The 18,358-nt window shown below is 39.2% G+C and overlaps 1 protein-coding gene across 36 annotated transcripts in view, besides 2 other annotated features; it reads left to right on the top strand.

Annotated features, from left to right (window-relative positions):
• ARID1B (AT-rich interaction domain 1B) overlaps positions 1–18,358 on the top strand; it is a 434,754-nt gene that overhangs the window by 124,480 nt on the left and 291,916 nt on the right. For all 36 annotated transcript variants that reach the window (NM_001371656.1, XM_011535984.3, XM_017011105.3 and 33 more), the window contains one exon: positions 871–1,020. In NM_001371656.1, the coding sequence (NP_001358585.1) occupies positions 871–1,020 (150 nt within the window). The remainder of the gene's footprint in view (positions 1–870; positions 1,021–18,358) is intronic.
• Positions 12,993–13,493: an enhancer, noted in NCBI's record as "H3K4me1 hESC enhancer chr6:157234632-157235132 (GRCh37/hg19 assembly coordinates)". NCBI's record gives its function as "activates a minimal SCP1, AML or CMV promoter by ChIP-STARR-seq in primed H9 embryonic stem cells {active_cell/tissue: H9 hESC(primed)}" and the evidence as "EXISTENCE:reporter gene assay evidence [ECO:0000049][PMID:30033119]".
• Positions 16,950–17,009: an enhancer, noted in NCBI's record as "active region_25321". NCBI's record gives its function as "activates an Ori minimal core promoter by ATAC-STARR-seq in GM12878 lymphoblastoid cells {active_cell/tissue: GM12878}" and the evidence as "EXISTENCE:reporter gene assay evidence [ECO:0000049][PMID:35858748]".

The following is an 18,358-nucleotide window of genomic DNA, read 5'->3' on the forward strand; positions in this document are numbered from 1 at the left end:
GGTATGAAACAAAATGACTTTGCCATTCTTGTCTCTAGAGTGCTTTTTGCTGTCCTGATATCTTGTTTTTCTTTTCCTTTCCTGCTCTCTCTTGAAATTACAGAAAAAGGCAATAGATTTCTCATTAAGAAAATATTCAAAAATACTATCCATGGTATATTTATTGCATGAGGAAGGATTTTCCTGTAAACAATGCTTTCAGGCATTTTTAGGCTGATGTAAATTAGAGATGGAGAAGATTGATTGAGGCCATTTTTGTCTATACCTCTGGTATTTGCACTGTAGTACACCTTGCTTTACATTGTTACCTGTTTTATCAACTAAGAAAATGCCATCCTTAGCAAAAATAGTAAATAAAATTGATAATTTAACTGGTATATATGTGCTGTAAATGCCGTTGGTATATTCTGACTTTTTCATTCTGAACTTAGAAACAAACATACACAAGAAAGCACCCAAACCACAGGCCTTCTGTAAAGTATTAGTGAGTTAATTTGGACTGTTTGAGTTCACTTTTTCACTGTTGTGTGGGAATGGATTTCATATCATGCTTCTCTTTCTTAGTAGAGGCTATTTTTTAGTCTCAGTATTTAGCACTTCCTCCCCTCTCCACCTTTATGATATTATCAATAGTTTCTATCTGATAGAATATGATGGTTTTTAAAGGCAAAGCAGATTGCCTTTTGACTTCATTTATAGTATGTGAATAGAAAGCAGCGTGTCGATTTGTTTAAGGAAGAGAGGATTAGAAATATTGAGTTTAGTTGCTTAGCAGAGAACCCCCTTCATGTTGCTGAATTGAAACCATATTTGATTTCATTTAATTGCACATTTTGACTTTCTCATTTGCTTTGCTTGACTTTTTGACAGATGCCACCTCAGTATGGACAGCAAGGTGTGAGTGGTTACTGCCAGCAGGGCCAACAGCCATATTACAGCCAGCAGCCGCAGCCCCCGCACCTCCCACCCCAGGCGCAGTATCTGCCGTCCCAGTCCCAGCAGAGGTACCAGCCGCAGCAGGTGAGCACAGTGCACTGCCCCGCAGGGCCCTGTTTTCTCCACCAAGGCAGACCCGGCTCTGAATCATCTTCCTGTCCTTTATTAAAAATTATGTTCTGGTGGAAAAAAAATTAGTTTTGAGAAAATGCATAACTGTAACCTAATCTAACTCCATCTCTCCCTCCGTCTTTTCCCCTTTTGAGATTGGAGGGTGAGAAGAATGACTGGTTTAATAGCTGCTTGCATTACTGGTTAGTGGCAGCAGAAAGTGTCAGTCATTGCTTGTTCCCTGTCATTTGTGTTCTGAACCTTTCAAGAAAGCACTCTGCCACTTTGTTAAGGCTTATTCAGGAGAAGGATTTTATCAATCATTTAATCCTTCTAGTTGGCACGTGCATGGTATTTTTATCTTGACCTTTGTTTTGTTTTGTTTTAATGGTAAGTGCTACTTTGTGAAAACATTGTTGCCTTTGACTGTGTTATTCTATTTAAACTAGCTTATAAGTAGATATTCACTTCAGTTGCAGTATATTAAAATACTAATTGGAATCATGTACTTTAAATATATCAAGCAGTTTCTAGTTTAAATTAGTCTCATTAAATACTCCTTTAGGTTACTGGGTTATATATTTCAGCTTACAGAATTTGTGGAAAAATAGTATATATGTTATTTGATAAAATGATTCAGTTTCCTTATGTTTTAGAGACTGTCACTCATGAGTGACATGAAAAGAAGTAGTGAGTGAGGGACTCTTACTCTGAATCCAGATAAAATGTTCGTAGCACATCCAATCATAAACATCAAAATATAATTTTCCATTTTAATACTTCCTTCCTTCTCTTTTGTGTGGTGGAGGTGGCAAAGAGAAGGTGAACACATGTAGCATCGACTTTTTCCTCTTTAAAGGACTTCTTTTGTGGCTTGAATAGATCGTGGATATTAAGCAAAATAAATAAATTTACGGAGCTTAATTTTAATCAGTTTGGCTGGTTTCTTACATATTTTCTTGGGTTTGTTGGAGTCCCTTTCCGTATGACTTACTAGAGAATTCTAAAGAGAGTTTATGATTTGAAGCAAAACATGTTAAAACAACAGCTAGGATTCGAGACCCAGTACAATCTTGTTTTTACATACATGTATTTAAAAGCTTGAACCCGGGAGGCGGAGGTTGCAGTGAGCGGAGACCACATCACTGCACTCCAGCCTTGCAACAGAGTGAGACTCTGTCTCAAAAAAAAAAAAAAAAAAAAAAAAAAAGTAACATCTGTGGGGTTTGTAGCAGTAGGAATGTACATCATTTCATAGTTACCTGGTCAAGTCTTTTATTAAAGTGTATGAAAATTTTAAAACACTTTAATATAATTTCTTTTTAGATGAGCAAGGCTGGTATCTGGAGTTTTGATAAAGTTATAACCTTTTTCAAGGGGCTTTCAGAGCCTTATTGAACTTATCTGTAGACACAGAGTGTTTTGTCATGTCATCAAAATTTAAGGAGTCAATAGATAAATTATATTACTCATTTGACTGTAGTGTGCTGAAATGAATCTCTGATCATAAAACCGATTTGATTAATGATTCTAAATGCCTGTCATTTTCTTCAAGACCAAGCTCAAAATTTACTTCCTTTAAAAATTATTCACTGATGACTTCCAGCACATGGCAATTAGTTATTTAATATCTTTCATATTTAAATATTTAAAGCATACTACAAGTAAAATCTTATTTTAATGAATATTATTTTAATGTGCTTAGTTTCAGTCTATCTTATGCTTTGATTATTGCTATCATTTTATTGATTTGAATACAATAAATTATATGGTAAATACTCTATAACCATGACTTTTTAAAGTAATTGTAATAATTTTTGTATATTCTGAATAAAACCAAACATTGCTCAAAATACATTGGAAATTTTTTCTTGGGTTTGTACTCCCTAGCTATAAAATGTCTGAGTTATATTCATTGTGGGGCAGAGAGGTGAAAGTTGGAGACATTTGAGTGGCCTAATCAGATGGTCTGGTTTGACAGGAACAGTCCTGGATTTTAGGGAGTTGGATGGGAGATAGATTTGGAAAGTTTCTCAAAAAAGTGATAACTTGCATTATAGATATATTTAGCACCTCCAAAACCTAAGTAATCCCCCTAAATCTATCCTGAAACAAAGTAAAAATTACCATTAAAGTATTATCAAAATCAAGCTAAATCTTAATAACACTGAATTCATATACCTTTAAAAACTTAAGAAGCTCAACCATATTTAACCAGCTAGTATTTCATAACGACCAGAACATTTCTTTATGCAGTCTTTCCTTTTGTTTTCAAATGTGGTTTATGTAATCTCTTGCTTTTGTATAAGGCAGGCAGTTAGCAAGTATTAGTAGTACTTGGTGTCTTGTTAATGCGATTGATACAGATGGTATAATTTTAGGGTTCCATCAAGATACCTGACTTTGTGTCTTCAATATTTTTCATATGTTTAATGTTTTAACTAATCAATACATTTATTGGTTTGAAAAAATAAAAAGTACAAGGAAGGGATTCCGAGAAAAGTCTCTTCCCGTCTTAGTTCCCTCTGCCCATGTCACCACCCCCGTTCTTGACTGGATAACCATTTATAGTTTATTGTATGTTTTTCTAGAGTTTCTTTATATCAAGAAGCACAATACCATACTTTTATTTTTACCCTATTTTTACACAAATGATGGTGTATATAGTATATACTACATGCCTTCTTCCATATTTTTTTCCTCATCCCCTTCTTTTACTCACTTAAATATATTTTCTAGAGATCTTTCCAAAGGAGCACATACAGCAATCCCTCATTCATTTTTATAGCTTCATTACATTTTATGGACATACCATGATATATTTAACCAGTTCTTTTTGATGGACATTTAGATTAGTTCTGGTTATTTGAATTGAAACAATGATGCCATGCTAAACTTTGTGTATGTGTCATAAGTGGGCAGTAATATCTGCAGGATGAATTCTGGAAGCCACAGTGCTGGGCAAAGGGTGTGTGCATCTGCATTCCCAGTGGGTATTGCAGGTTGTAGCCAATTCACACTCCCATCTGCACGTGAGAGGACTCTTCCTACATATGTGCCAGTAGCATGGCTTTACAAAGCTTCTGGATTTTTGCCAATCTGGTACAGATTGAGCACCCTAAATCCCAATGTCTGAAATATGAAATGCTCCAAAATCTGAAACTTTCTGGATGCCAACATGACACCACAAGTGGAAAATTCCATATTTGACCTCATGTGATGGATCACAGTCAGAACACATGTAAAACATTGTTTCAGTCACACAAGTATTTTAAAACATTGTATAAAATTGCCTTCAGGCCATATATGTAAGGCACGTTTGAAACATAATGAATTTCATGTTTAGTCTTGGGTTCCATCTCTAAGATATCTCATTTGTGTATATGCAAATATGCCAAAATCTGAAATACTTCTTTTTCTAAGCATATAGTTTTAGTTTACATTTATCTTGTTATGAGTAATGTTGAGTGTTGTCTTGTGTATTTAAAGGCATTTGTGTTTCCTTTTTCCTGAACTATAAATTTATATATATTTTGAATTTTCTCTCTTCAGTTGTTGGTCTTTAAAAATTATTTTTAAAATCCTTTGTATATTAGGGAGACTGGGCCTTTGTCTGTAATATGAGTTATTAACTCCAGAGGACTGGAATCAATAGAATAGAATAATAGAATAGAATCAATTGTGCTCACATATGCACGCACACACACACACACACACACACACACACACAGATTTATTATAAGGAATTGGCTCATATGCTTATGGAGTTTTGCATTTCCGAAACCTGCAGTATGGGCTGGCAGGTGGTAAGCCGATGGTCTGATGAAGTCAAAGACAGCTTGCTGGAGAATTCCTTCTTGCTTAGGTGGGGCTGGTCTTTTGATTATAGTTAGGACTTCAAACTAAATGGATAAGGCCCACCCACATTATGGAAAACAATCTGTTATTCTCAGAGTCTCCGTTGAAATTGTTAATTCCATTTACAGTACCTTCCAAGATCACATGTAAAATCAACCATTGCAGCTACCTTTCCCTGATGCCACTAAAATCATTAACTGAATTTCCTTAGGTATATGGTGTTTGGGGTCATTTTGGGATTTCTGTTATTCTCCATTGGCTCTTCTATGAATGCATTAGTATTGTACTGTTTCTCTATTATCTTTTAGTATCTGATGGGGTAGTATATCCTCATTATCCTTCTTTTTCAGTTGTTGGTTTTCTTTTTCCTTTTGCTATTCGTATGTGCTTATTTTTTCCTATAAACTTTTTCTTTTTTTATCACGCTATTTTCTAAGAATTTTATCTTTTGTTATTGTTATAATGGGATCTTCTGTGAAACAGGGTACTTAGAAAAGAATAAAGATAAGACACACAGAAGCACTTTACTTGAATAGCTTTTTCCTTTTTGGAGCCCACTGACCAAAGATGAGAAATATCCCTGTAATAAAAAGATGTGTTTGTTTAGCTTAGGTGGCTGCAGGCCAGGGAGGATGCAGTCCTGAGGAGCCCCAGGAGCACTGTGGAAAGGGGGAGGTGGGGCTGTAGTAGGGTTGGGGTGTGTGTTAGATGACTCTTAAGAGGGAGTGGCATCATGAGGAGGGGTGGTCCTCAACTGGCTGCTCTCAAGAAGCTGGGGGTACTTTTGTGATTAGGTATTTTAATTTTTATCTAGGAGACAGGAGGATTGAAGTGGGGCAGGGTTGTCATTGGTAAAGAAGCACCAGCCACCTCATGCCTGTAATCCCAGCACTTTGGGAGGCCGAGGTGGGTGGATCACCTGAGGTCAGGAGTTCGAGACCAGCCTGACCAACATGGAGAAACCCTGTCTCTACTAAAAATACAAAATTAGCTGGGCGTGGAGGCGCGTCTGTAATCCCAGCTACTCGGGAGGCTGAGGCAGAAGAATCGCTTGAACCCGGGAGGCAGAGGTTGTGAGGAACTGAGATCGTGCCATTGCACTCTAGCCTGGGCAACAAGAGCGAAACTCCATCTCCAAAAAAAAAAAAAAAAAAAAAAAAAAAAAGCACCAGCCACTTAGAAAAAGAAGCGGGGATGTTTGTCATTTTTGTCATCAGCAAGTGGCCTTGGGCACCTGTTGTTTCGGGCACTGTTGCTGTGCTGTAGAAACCATGCAGTCCGCTGGCTCTTCTGCCTGGTTTTCCAATGCTTGCCTTTGCCCATTTCCACTCCACCATCCCTGCCTCTCCTGCATGGGATAGCTTTCCATCTCTCCATTTGTTGAGGTACTTTTCAGTTTCTTTTATAACATTCTTCAAAAAGAGCTGCTGTATTACTTTTGTTAGGATTATTCTTACATACCTTATTTTTTGTTGCTATTGTAAATGGTATCCTTTAAAAAATTACATTTTCTCATTGTTACTGGTGTATACAAATGTAACAGACTTTGTATATTAACTTTGTGTGTGTGTCCAGCCACCTTTTAAATTCTTGCTAATTCTGCTAATTCTAGTGATTTGTGAAGTCTCAGGTTTTTTAATTAAAATAATACTTTAAAAAATCACTGCCTTCCTGCTTTTTTGCCTTTCTGCAGACTGGCTCCCCTGTATGCATTCTTTGAAACGGCTGGCTGTTCCTGTGTTATCCCTGATTAAATGAAGGCTTCCAGCATTTTGTCATTTAATACAATGTTTCCCCTTTCTTTTCTTTCTTTTCTCTTTTCCCTTTCTTTTTGTAGCTGTCCACTGTTGGGCTAAGGAAGTTCCCTTCTTTTCTAGTTTGCGAAGAGATTTTTTCATGAGTGGATACTGAATTTTATCTTCCGTCTTTTTTGAATCTATTGAGATGATCACTTTGTATGTATTGAGATGATCACTTTGTTTTTACTTATAATCTGTTTTTGAGGTAAATTACCTTTTAAGTATCAAATGAAACTCACATTCTATAATAAACATAGCCTCATGATATATTGTCTTTTTTATTCATCACTGGATTCAGTTTACTAACATTTGTTTTAGGTTTCTTGAATCAGAAATTCATGAATTAGACTGAACTGTAATTATCCTTGTTAGGTTTTGGTATCTGTACTTTTCGAGCTTTGAAAATGAATTGGAGGCCAGGCGTGGTGGCTCATGCCTGTAATTCTATCACTTTGGGAGGGCAGATCACCTGAGATCAGGAGTTTGAGACCAGCCTGGTCAACATGGTGAAATCCCATCTCTACTAAAAATGCAAAAAAAAAAAAAAAATTAGCCAGGCATGTTGGCACACATCTGTTATCCCAGCTACTTGGGAGGCTGAGGCACGAGAATTGCTTGAACCTGGGAGGCAGAGGTTGTAGTGAGTCGAGGTCGCGCCACTGCACTGCAGCCTGGGCGACAGAGCAAGACTGTCTCAAAAAAAAAAAAAAAAAAAGAATTGAAGATGAGTCCCTTTTTTAATTTACTGAAAGAATTTGTGTTGTTATCTGTTCTCTGAATGTTTAGTAAAACTGTTTATAAAGCTATAAAGGGTTGTATAGCTCTTTATCTTTACCTTTTGTCTTACCCCTGATTTTTCAACTTTTTTAGTAGAGATGTTGAGGTCTTGCTCTACTGCCCAGGCTGGTCTCTAACTCTTGGCCTCAAGTGATCCTCCTACCTTGGCCTCCCAAAGTGCTGGGATTACAGGCATGAACTACTGTGCCCAGCCATTTAAAATTTTTGATTTCATTTCTTTTGTCAATATAGGCATATTCAAGTTAAAAATTTCTTCTTGTGTGAGTATTGCTATATATATATTCCTATGTATAGGAATTTGTCCATTTCATATAATTTTTCAACTTTATTAACATAAAGTTCGTAATAGCCTTTATTACTTTAATCTCTGTACCATCCAGAGTTAAGGCATTTTAATTCATAATGGTTTTTCTTCTTTTATTCTTGATAAAACCATTTCCAAAGTGACTTGGTCTTTATTGTCTGTATTGTGTGTCCTTGTAAACAAACTTAATGAAATTCTTCTCTCACCTTGATTACGTCTTGCTTTCTACTTTATTGATGTTTATTTTGCTGTTCTTCCCCCCCGCCCCCACTCAAGTGAATGCTTACTTTATTTGAACATTTTTTGTTTGATGAAGCTAAATATGAGACTAAAATTTTTTCTCTTAAGTACTGCTTTGGCTGAATCTTTCAACTTTTGATATGTATCATTTTTGTTCTCTTTTAGTTCTAAGAAATTTCTTGTTTTTCTAAATTGCTTATTTTTTTTTGAAGACATTTTTATTGAGGCCTGGGTTTGCATTCTGTTTCCTCAGAAGGATTGATTGGTCTTTGCTTTTGCCAGGTGCCTATGGGTACCAGTTATCTTGAACAATGTTTTGTGTTTGATTTTGTGAAAGTTTTATTACAAGAAGAATATACAGATACACAGAATGACATAATGAGCACTCCTATGCCCTCACGTAGTTTTAATATTACCAATATTTTCCCATGTCTGCTGCCCTGTCTCATCTTTTCCTCCTCTTCCGACTTTCTTCAAAGTATTTTAAGTCACAGATACATTTCTTCTCAAAATCATTCTGTATGTGTGTATAAAACGTAAGGGCACTTCTTTTTTTTTCTTTTTTCTTTCTCTTTTTTTTTTTTTTTTTTTTGAGACAGAGCCTCGCTCTGTCGCCCAGGCTGGAGTGCAGTGGTGCAATCTTGGCTCACTGCGGCATCTGCCTCCTGAATTCAAGCAATTCTCCTGCCTCAGCCCTGTGAGTAGCTGGGATTACAGGCGTGCACCTCCACACCTGGCTAATTTTTGTATTTTTAGTAGAAACGGGGTTTCACCATGTTGGCCAGGCTGGTCTTGAACTCCTGACCTTGTGATCCACCTGCCTCGGCCTCCCAGAGTGCTGGAATTACAGGCGTGAGTCACCGCATCCGGACAAGGGCGTTTCTTATATAACAGCAGCTCTGTTACCACATCTTATTAAATTAAATATAATTCCACTTGTCTACAAACCTAGCCATGTTCAGATAGCCCCAGTTGTCTTCAGAATACCCTTCTGTATCATTCGTTTCAAGCAAAATTTAAACAAGATTTATTACATTGATTTGGTTCTGAAGCCTTTTTATCTAGGACAGTTTCTCCTCCCCAAAATTTGTGCCTTGACCTCTTGAAAAACCTGGGTCAACTGTCCTGTGGAATGGCTTTATCTGCCAGTTTTCTCTTGATGTGGCTTAACTTGCTCATCTGTTTCCTGTACATTGCAAGTTAGATCCACAGGCTTGAAGATAAACATTTTATTTGCAGTCGTTGAAAATCATGTTCCCAACATCTTAGGCCTGCCCTTGTTCACAGGATGGGTCTGTGATCCTCCTTTTGAGCGAAGAGCCTCTAGGTGGTTCTAGCCCCCACCTTTCTTGTGACCATCAGCTACAGCTGAGGCTGAAGAGACATTGTGATGGACAGATAAAGCTTCCCTTTGTACCCTCTCCAAATTGCTCACTAACTACATTGGTGAGCACAACACATGCTGGTGACCCTAGGCCACTGAGTTTGGGGTGGTTGTTACCCGTCATTTCTGACTGACTTGGTCTGGATGCTTCATAGGCGATGCTGTGCGTTTATTGTATCAGATTGAGCGTAATGTTTGGTTGTCCCACAACAGTGAAGTTAAGATTAATTAGAGGGTTTAGGTGATGATGGTCTCTGGGGCTGTTCTAAATGAAGTATCTTCTTGAGGTTTTGTAGACCACACCATTAAGTGTTAATTTTGACCAGATACCCTGGTGATGGTTAGCTTGTGGTTGCTATTTCTTAAAGGAGCCACTTATTCCTGCTACCTCTGCATATCAAGTTCAAGACAGGTATTTCTCTTTTCTGTTTAGTGGGGTTGCAAGCTCTTAAATGATGGGTATAGCCCTTCTTGGTCCTTAATTTAACTGAGAGGTGTTGTCTTGTATTTTACTCCCTTTTGGCAGGCCCTGGACTTCCTCTCCTTTTCCCTGTTCTCGAATAGTTGTCAAAGGGAAAGTTAGAATCTATAGCAAAAGTTGGCTTCTATTGCTCTCTTGGTTTCTCTGTTCTCGGTCTGCTCTCTGGGTGTTCTTCATGTTACTCACATTTATGGCAAGTCTGGGATTCATTTAAAAAGGATTAGAAAACGCATTTTATCCAGTATTTTGGGTTTTTCAATCAATAGCTATTTAGAGCATCTAATCTGCCATACTGCTGGAACTGGTAGTTTCATGTTTTCTAGTTGTTCCTTTGGTATCCTTTATACAATTGGAAACCATACAAATATGTAATGTTTATGATAGATCATTTAGAACATACAGATAATACCTTCTCATTGTTTGAATCAAACTTTTCTAGTGTCTCCTTTATTCTTTTAAAATAAAGTTCTTAGGTAATATGAGCTCTCCCCACACAAAATTTTAAACAAAATTAGAATAAGGCACTAACTATATATGGAAAATGAAAAGAAAGAAGTATATAATAAAGTATTGTATGCTTAATTAAACAAATATTTAGGCATACTACTTTAGAAGACTTGTGAAATAGATGCTTGATGTATATGTGTGATCACTGTGAACTTGACAGCTACAAAATGAGATTGATATAGGAATGTTGCATTGGCAACTCAGATGTCTCCAGCAGGGTTGTCAGTGGTGATGTCATCTTTTGAAATGATGAGCAACTGTTGGCAAAGTTCTGAGCAAAACAAAGTATAATCTTCCCTCAATATACGTGATGGTTTTGTTTCTGGAAAATTTATTATGTCATAAGATGATTTTAAGAACACCTTGTTCTTCCTTGCAAAATGGAGTTGGGTTCTAGACTCAGCTAAATAATTAGTTTTTTTTTTTTTTTTTTTTTGCTTTGTTTTTAAATATACCCAAACTTTGGCACTTTTGAAAGTAGTGTCGGCTGTGGCATGGTGATCTTTTCCATCAGTCACTCTTACACATTGCAGGATAATCTAGCATTCCTACCCTATAGCCACTGTTTAAATGCATTTCTGTGTCCTTGTGACAACTAACTACTCCGTTGAAATTTTGTCACTACATGTGTTATATATGTCCTTAATTTTCCTGAAATTCATATGTAAAGTGAGTTCCCTATGTATAAAATTTCAAACATGAGTATGATTCCCTGAATGTAATGGAAAGAGGTAGGAAAGGACAGAAAGCTGCCTATAACACATTTGTGTTTCTCTTAAGTAAATGCTCAGGCACTTCTCCATTAGAAGGCTTGTGAGAGAGTCAGAGGCTTGTGCCTGGGTCTGTGGGAGCCATGGACTCCACAGGTGCAAACGAGGCTGCTACAGATGTGTGGGATGAACAGCTCAAAACCACGAGCAGGCATAGAATCCATGGGATCAATGACCACACAACAGTAATTATAGAAATGAAAGTATAGAAGACCACTTTAAATAACATGCTCACAGAGTTGTTAGAAAAGGTAAGTTACCCCAAAGTCTGGAAATGTTATAAATTTGTAAATAAAATACAAATACATAGTAAAAACTGGTAAGAAAGTAAAGATTTCTTTTCTTTTGCTTTATTTGTATTTTCTAAATTATCTACATAAACATGTAATGCATATATAATATTCTTAAATGTTGTGTAAAGGATTCCACGTTACCCATTATACAATGTAAGGAATTACCCATTCCGGTGGCAGACTAGGTGCTCTCAATGTCTCTATTGATCAAAATATCTAAAATGCTGGCTCAGTTCTTCAAACTAAATGAAACAGTGAATCAAACCTCTTTTTTTTTTTTTTTTTTGTTTAACTGTTTCTTATGCCCCTCCTGTCATCCCTTTCTTCCTTACCCAACTAAAATTCCAAGCCCATCATTATACTCGCCCTCACGCTCCTGCATGTACTCTTAAATACTCACCAGCCCCATCTTATTAAACCTATTTATGCAAGCCTGATGAAATCCACTTTTGTGCCCACTCCAGGTGAGTGGGATGGGGAAAGAGGGAGGGAAGACCCTGCTATTTATTTGAGTTGGTGACCACTGATGTTAGATCATCCTTGCCTTGTAGCTTTGCATTTCCCTAAGGCTATTTCAGATCTCCCTCTGTCTTCAAACCCAAAAGGCTTAAGCCCTGCCCCTCACTCTGAGCTAGTGAGGCTGCTTCCTGTTTCATTGAAGAAATCAACACAAGCAATCAGGAGAACTTAGAGGTACCAGCCAGCCTGTGTCTGCATATCATGTCTGCCTTCTGTGATGTACACACTCTGCCAGAAATCTCCTTGTTCCTCTGGAAGGCTGCTCTGTGCCCTTGGTCCACTCAAGTTCTTGGTTTTTCCCCACACCATCCATTTCTCTGTCCTTCCCATTGGCATTTAAACATGCCATCATTTCTCCCACCCCAAACAAAACAAAACAAAAACGCCTTTCTTGACCGAAACCACAAGCCTGTTTTTCTCTTTTCTTGTATTCCCCATTTGCTGGTATCCCTTGAATTTACTCTGTCTAGGCTTTTATTTCAACTATTCTATTGAAATGGCTCTTTTCATACTTTCTTTTTTTTTTTTTTCACTTGCTTTGTAAATTGAGAGGTAAAATTGTATGTATTTACTGTGTACAATGTGATGTTTTGAAGTATATATACTACATTGTAGAGTGAGTACATCTAGCTAATTAACATATACATTACCTCACATAGTTACCATTTTCGTGGTAGGAACGCTTTACATCCACTCAACATTTTTCTTTTTCTTTTTTTTTTTTTTTTTGAGACAGAGTATCGCCCTGTCACTCAGGCTGGAGTGCAGTGGCGCGATCTGGGCTCACTGCAACCTCTGCCTCCCGGGTTCAAGCAATTCTCCTGCCTCAGCCTCTTGAGTAGCTAGAACTACAGGCACGCGCCACCATGCCTGGCAAATTTTTTTATATTTTTAGTAGAGACAGGGTTTCACCATATTGGCCAGGCTGGTCTTGAACTCCTGACCTTGTGATCTGCCTGCCTCAGCCTCCCAAAGTTCTAGGATTACAGGCATGAGCCACCTCACCTGGCAACATTTTTCAAGAATACAATATATTATTAACTACAGTCACCATGTTGTACAACAGATCTCTTGAACTTATTCTTCCCATCTAACTGAAATTTTGTATCTTTGATCGACATCTTCCCAACTTCCAGCCCACCCCAGCCCGTGGTGCCCCCATCCCACTCTCTACTTTCCAACAACCAGCCCGCCCCAGCCCGTGAGCCACCATCCTACTATCCACTTCCCAACTCCCAGCCCATGCCAGCCCATGGTACCCCCATTCCACTCTCCACTCCCCAACAACCAGTCCATCCCAGCCCGTGAACCACCATCCCACTCTCCACTTCCCAACAACCAGCCAACCCCAGCCCATGAGCCACCATCCCACTCTTCACTTCCCAGCAACCAGCCCATCCCAGCCCCCGGTGATCCCATTCCACTCTCCACTCCCCAACGACCAGCCCATCCCAGCCCATGGTGCCCCCATTCTACTCTCCACTCCCCAACTCCCAGCCCTTCCCAGCCCGTGGTGCCCCCATTCCACTCTCTACTCCCGAACTGCCAGCCCCACCCCAGCCTGTGGTGCCCCCATTCCACTCTCCACTCCCCAACTCCCAGCCCATGGTGCCCCCTTTCCACTCTCCACTCCCGAACTGCCAGCGCCACCCCAGCCTGTGGTGCCCCCATTCCACTCTACTCCCCAGCTCCCAGCCCTTCCCAGCCCGTGGTGCCCCCATTCCACTCTCCACTTCTGAGATTACCTTTCCTAGAGGCCACATTTGAGTGAGATCATGCGGTATGAAACAGCTCTTTTCAAAGCCTCCAGTGTTCTGTTATTCAGCCTGATGGGTGATAGTCATTCCTTCCATCCTTCGCCTGTCATTAGGATTCCATGCAGCTGACGGTATCTTCCTCCTCGGAGCACCTGTCTTGCTTGGTTCCTGGGACGCCACCCTCTCCTGGCTCTCTTCCTACTTTGTGGCCGCTCCTTGCCTTTCCTTGCTAGATTTTCTTTATCTTTCTGGCCTCCAAATACTGGCCCATGACCAGGGCTCAGTGTTGGCCCCTCTTTTTTTGTGGCTCTACCCACCTTACCTGTATGATTTCTTTTACTTTCAAAGCTTTACGTATCTGGAGACTTGTGACTTTCATATGTACTTTTGCAACTTGGATCTGTCTTGTCCTTTCTACATCTATGTATGTCCAGCTCCTGCAGGTAATCACTAATTTGAATGCCCAACAGGCTTTGGAAAATCAACATATCCAAAGCGGGCCTCTGGCCACCCAGCCCTTTATCCACAAACCTGCCCTGTCTATATTTTCCCCCATCCCAACAATATGTATGTCAATCCATCCTTTCTGACCCTTTGAAATCTTTGGCTCTTCTCTATCAAGCCCACTTTTTTTTTCTTTTTTTCCAAATAATGTGTGTGGTTTCACCTTAAGAAAATAAGATTTATGAGTGGAAGGACTTTGTTTTGTCATTATGTCCCCAGCACCTAGGTCAATGCCTGCACAAAGTAGAAACTTAGTAAACATGGTGAAAATTGTTGATTTAATCATTCAAAAAATCTTTTTTATTTGCTGAAACATAGTAAAACATACTTTACAGTGTTGAAGAAGGTAAATGTTTACTGCTGGGTATTTAAATTTTGTGATTTCTTTTGGAATTGCAGATAGTGCTTTGTGGAATGCTTTTATAGCTGGTTCCTTTGTGCAGTATAGATGCATGTATGTGAGCAAACAGGCTTTCTTCTTTGATAGAATTGCTGGGCAAAAGAACAGGCACATTTTAGGCCAGGCGCAGTGGCTCATGCCTGTAATCCCAGCCCTTTGGGAAGCTGAGGTGGGTGGATCACCTGAGGTCAGAAGTTCGAGACCAGCCTGGCCAACATGGTGAAACCCTGTCTCTACTAAAAATATAAAAAATTAGACAGGTGTGGTCGCGCATGCCTGTAGTCTCAGCTACTCAGGAGGCTGAGGGAGGAGAATCGCTTGAACCCAGGAGGCAGAGGTCGCAGTGAGCTGAGATCGTGCCACTGCACTGCAGCCTCGGTGACAGAGCAAGACTCTGTCTCAAAAAAAATTAAAAAAAAAAAAAGCACATTTTAAAGATTTGGTTTTGGGCGGGCTCAGTGGCTCATGCCTGAAATCCCAGCACTTTGGGAGGCCCAGGCGGGCAGATCACTTGAGGCCAGGCGTTCAAGACTAGCCTGGCCAACATGGTGAAACCCTGTCTCTACTAAAAATACAAAAATTAGCTAGATGTGGTGGTGCATACCTGTAGTTGCAGCTACTTGGGAGGCTGAGGCAGGGGGATCACTTGAACCTGGGAGGCAGAGGTTGTAATGAGCCAAGATTGCACCACTGCACTCCAGTCTGGGTGGACACAGCAAGACTCCGTCTCAAAAAAAAAAAAGCCCCACCTCTTTTTTAACCAAATTCCTCTCTAGAAGGTTTTTTAACAAATTACGCGCCCCACCCCCCCAGCTCACTTTCCTACATTTTAATATATATTTTCCAGTGGTTCTTATTTTAAGTTTTATTTTTAGTGAGGATTTAACTGTTTTCTGAGCACCGACAGAATTAAAGAGCCCTCACAGAATTTGGAATTAGGATGGATCTAGGTGATGTGTTACAATGATGGAACAGATCGTGGAAATTCGATTGTATCAGGAAGAAGTACACAGTTGGACATTGGTAATTTTTTTTGATTTACTGCTGACACTGCGGCTCCATGAATTCCACAACTTCTTGTTGTTTACATTTTTGTTACCATTACCATTTCTTGTCTCTGCTGCTCTTTTTAGGGGGCAGAATTAGAACTGGAGTGAGTAGGTCTGGTTTATTCTTCCTGTTGTAGATAGAGGATAACTAGGACATCAGAGGTTCACACTGTGCGTTCATCAGACATCTTATTTACCCAACACTCGTCATTTCCTTCTTTTAAAAAGCATCTATTTTTATGGCCTTTAAAAAAAGCTATTTGAAGAAGTTGCTTCCATTTTAAAGTATTTTTACATCCTAGCTTACTTCCTCAGACTTCATTAACCGAGATTTAATACTTTTATATAGAAGGGGAAAGCTCCTTCAATGCTGTGGTTTAGTTTTTGTTTTGTTTTGCTCTAACGTTTCTGCTTGCCTTATGTTTCCCCGTTGTCAGGTCTCGATGCATCACATGCAGGTCTGCTTCCCGGTCCCCTCTTAGCAAGCTCTCATGACCTTTCTCTCTCCTCCTAGTACCTTTAGACTCAGAATCGTTTTCCTTTTACCTCTGACTCCTGTTCTGCTTCAGACTTACTCTCCTAAGATACTGGAAGAGACCTCCTTTCCTGTTAAGGCACACATTTCTCCAGGAACCTTCACCCATCGTCTCCTGGCAGATGTTGTGTGTTAAGTGTCAAGGCCAGTGTTCCAACAATCAGGTAACTCAAAGAGAGTTGCCTGGCCGCAGACAGGGGGCTGTCTGTCAGTACCCTTTCTTGTGACCGAGGTCTTCTGCTGGTCTGGAACAGTTGGCATCCTCGCACAACCCTGTCTGTTTTCATGGCTTTAAGGGACACTGTTGTGCCCTCATAGCCAGAAAAACCTTTTTCTTTTCTTAGAGAAGAGTTGTAGCAAGTAACCCTATTTAAGAAGTCACCATTTTTTTTTTAGAGAGTATGGATCTTTTTAAAAAACCTTAGTGTAAAGCAGCAACATAATTTCAAACTTGGCTTTTATACGTATAGTTTCTCTTCAAGTTGATATAGTTGTTTCGGATTCTTAAGAGAAATAATGGGTATTATGAAAGTGTACTTATTTACCTCAGGGTCTGTTGGACAAGCAAAACATAAACCATTTTATGAGCCCCTTTGGGCTTGGGACTGTTTTGCATGTGGGAATCTAGTGTTGAGTCAGACGTTGTTGCTGACCTAAAGGAGCCCCTAGTTGAACAGGAGGGTTGACGGTGCCGTGGGAGGGGTGTGTTTCAAGCTGTGATTCTAGTGTTGTGAGGCTTAGGAGAAGATGTTGATAAAAGTGTCTCAGAGGAAGTCTGGAAGAATGAGGAAGACTTTGCTGGTGAGAGAAGAAGTGATCCTGGGATAGGGCCAGTTCCTTGTTAGTGAAAATAGAGGGGATGCCCATTCCTGAGAGATACTGAAGTAGACAATGAGGTCAGTTAACAGTCAAGGTCATTTAGATGGAGCATATTAATTATGGTGGGAACTGGTGATTTATATTGCCTTTGCCTCAGTGATTAAAAATGAAATGAGGTTATTTATTGTTCAATATCATTTAAAACAGAAAATAGTACTAGTTTAGCAGTTAACTTCTAGCAGTAGATCACTTGGTAGTTGGACCAAGTGGAAATCTGAGTCTACTTTTATGAGAGTAGGTAGATGGGTGTTTAAATGATATTTTCTAAAATATCTTTCTTCAGACATCTTTTTGGTCAGCAATTTTTAAAAGAGATGCCGTGAACTGGAAGTACTTGGCACATGGGCAATCATTTGGAAAAGAACAAAATAGTACTGGAACATGGGGGTAAAATAGGTTTCAATTTTTTAACATAAAATATCCATCATAATCCACATAGTAAGCAAAATCTTTCAAAGGAGCTTAACTTAGAAAAAATACTTTTTTTAAAGCTAAAAACATAGTGAAATATATTTTTGATTTAAAGCTTGTAACAGCATGCCACTCAAGTCATTGAAGGAACACAGAAGTCACATTAGGGACAGAGGCTGTGATCCATTGTGGGGTAAACAGTTCCTTATATTGTTGTTATTTATATTATGCAAATCTGTTTCTTATATAGAAATAAGACCAAAATTTAATTTATAAGCCAATCCTGCAGATTTTGGGGGAAAATTAACCTTACAAGGCCTGTGGAAAGCCACTGAAGTGTTCATTTCACTTATTTTAAGATTTTATTATAAGAGCAAAAAAACAAGGACATATATAGTTTGTTGCCATTAATTGCTTAGTTTTTGGATATTAACACAGTCTATTAACTCAGTAAAAACCAGAATATAGTTAATGTTATTCTTTGTTTTAAAGGATATTATTAGTGAAGACTTGGGTTATGTTTGAATTTTGAATCTTTTTCTTTCTTCTTGCTACAGTTGTCTCAGGCTTTGAACCATTGCTGAGGGAGATTTCCTTTTAAGTTTGAAGAGCTTGTAAGCATCCGAGGAGACAACTTCTGGGTCACTTAGTGGCTGAGCAAGGCCTATTCCTAGACTCTGATTGTTGACTTGGGGCTTCTAACCTTGTGTTGGGGCCGGTTTTGGGAGCACAGAGGTGGGGTTAGATAGGCTGCAGGAGCCACCAGCCTGCCTGCGCTCGCTCTGGCAGGATGACTGATGCCAGGAGGATGGGAATGAGGACT

The sequence above is a fragment of the Homo sapiens genome, chromosome 6 (assembly GCF_000001405.40).
Source record: "Homo sapiens chromosome 6, GRCh38.p14 Primary Assembly".
NCBI lineage: Eukaryota > Metazoa > Chordata > Mammalia > Primates > Hominidae > Homo > Homo sapiens.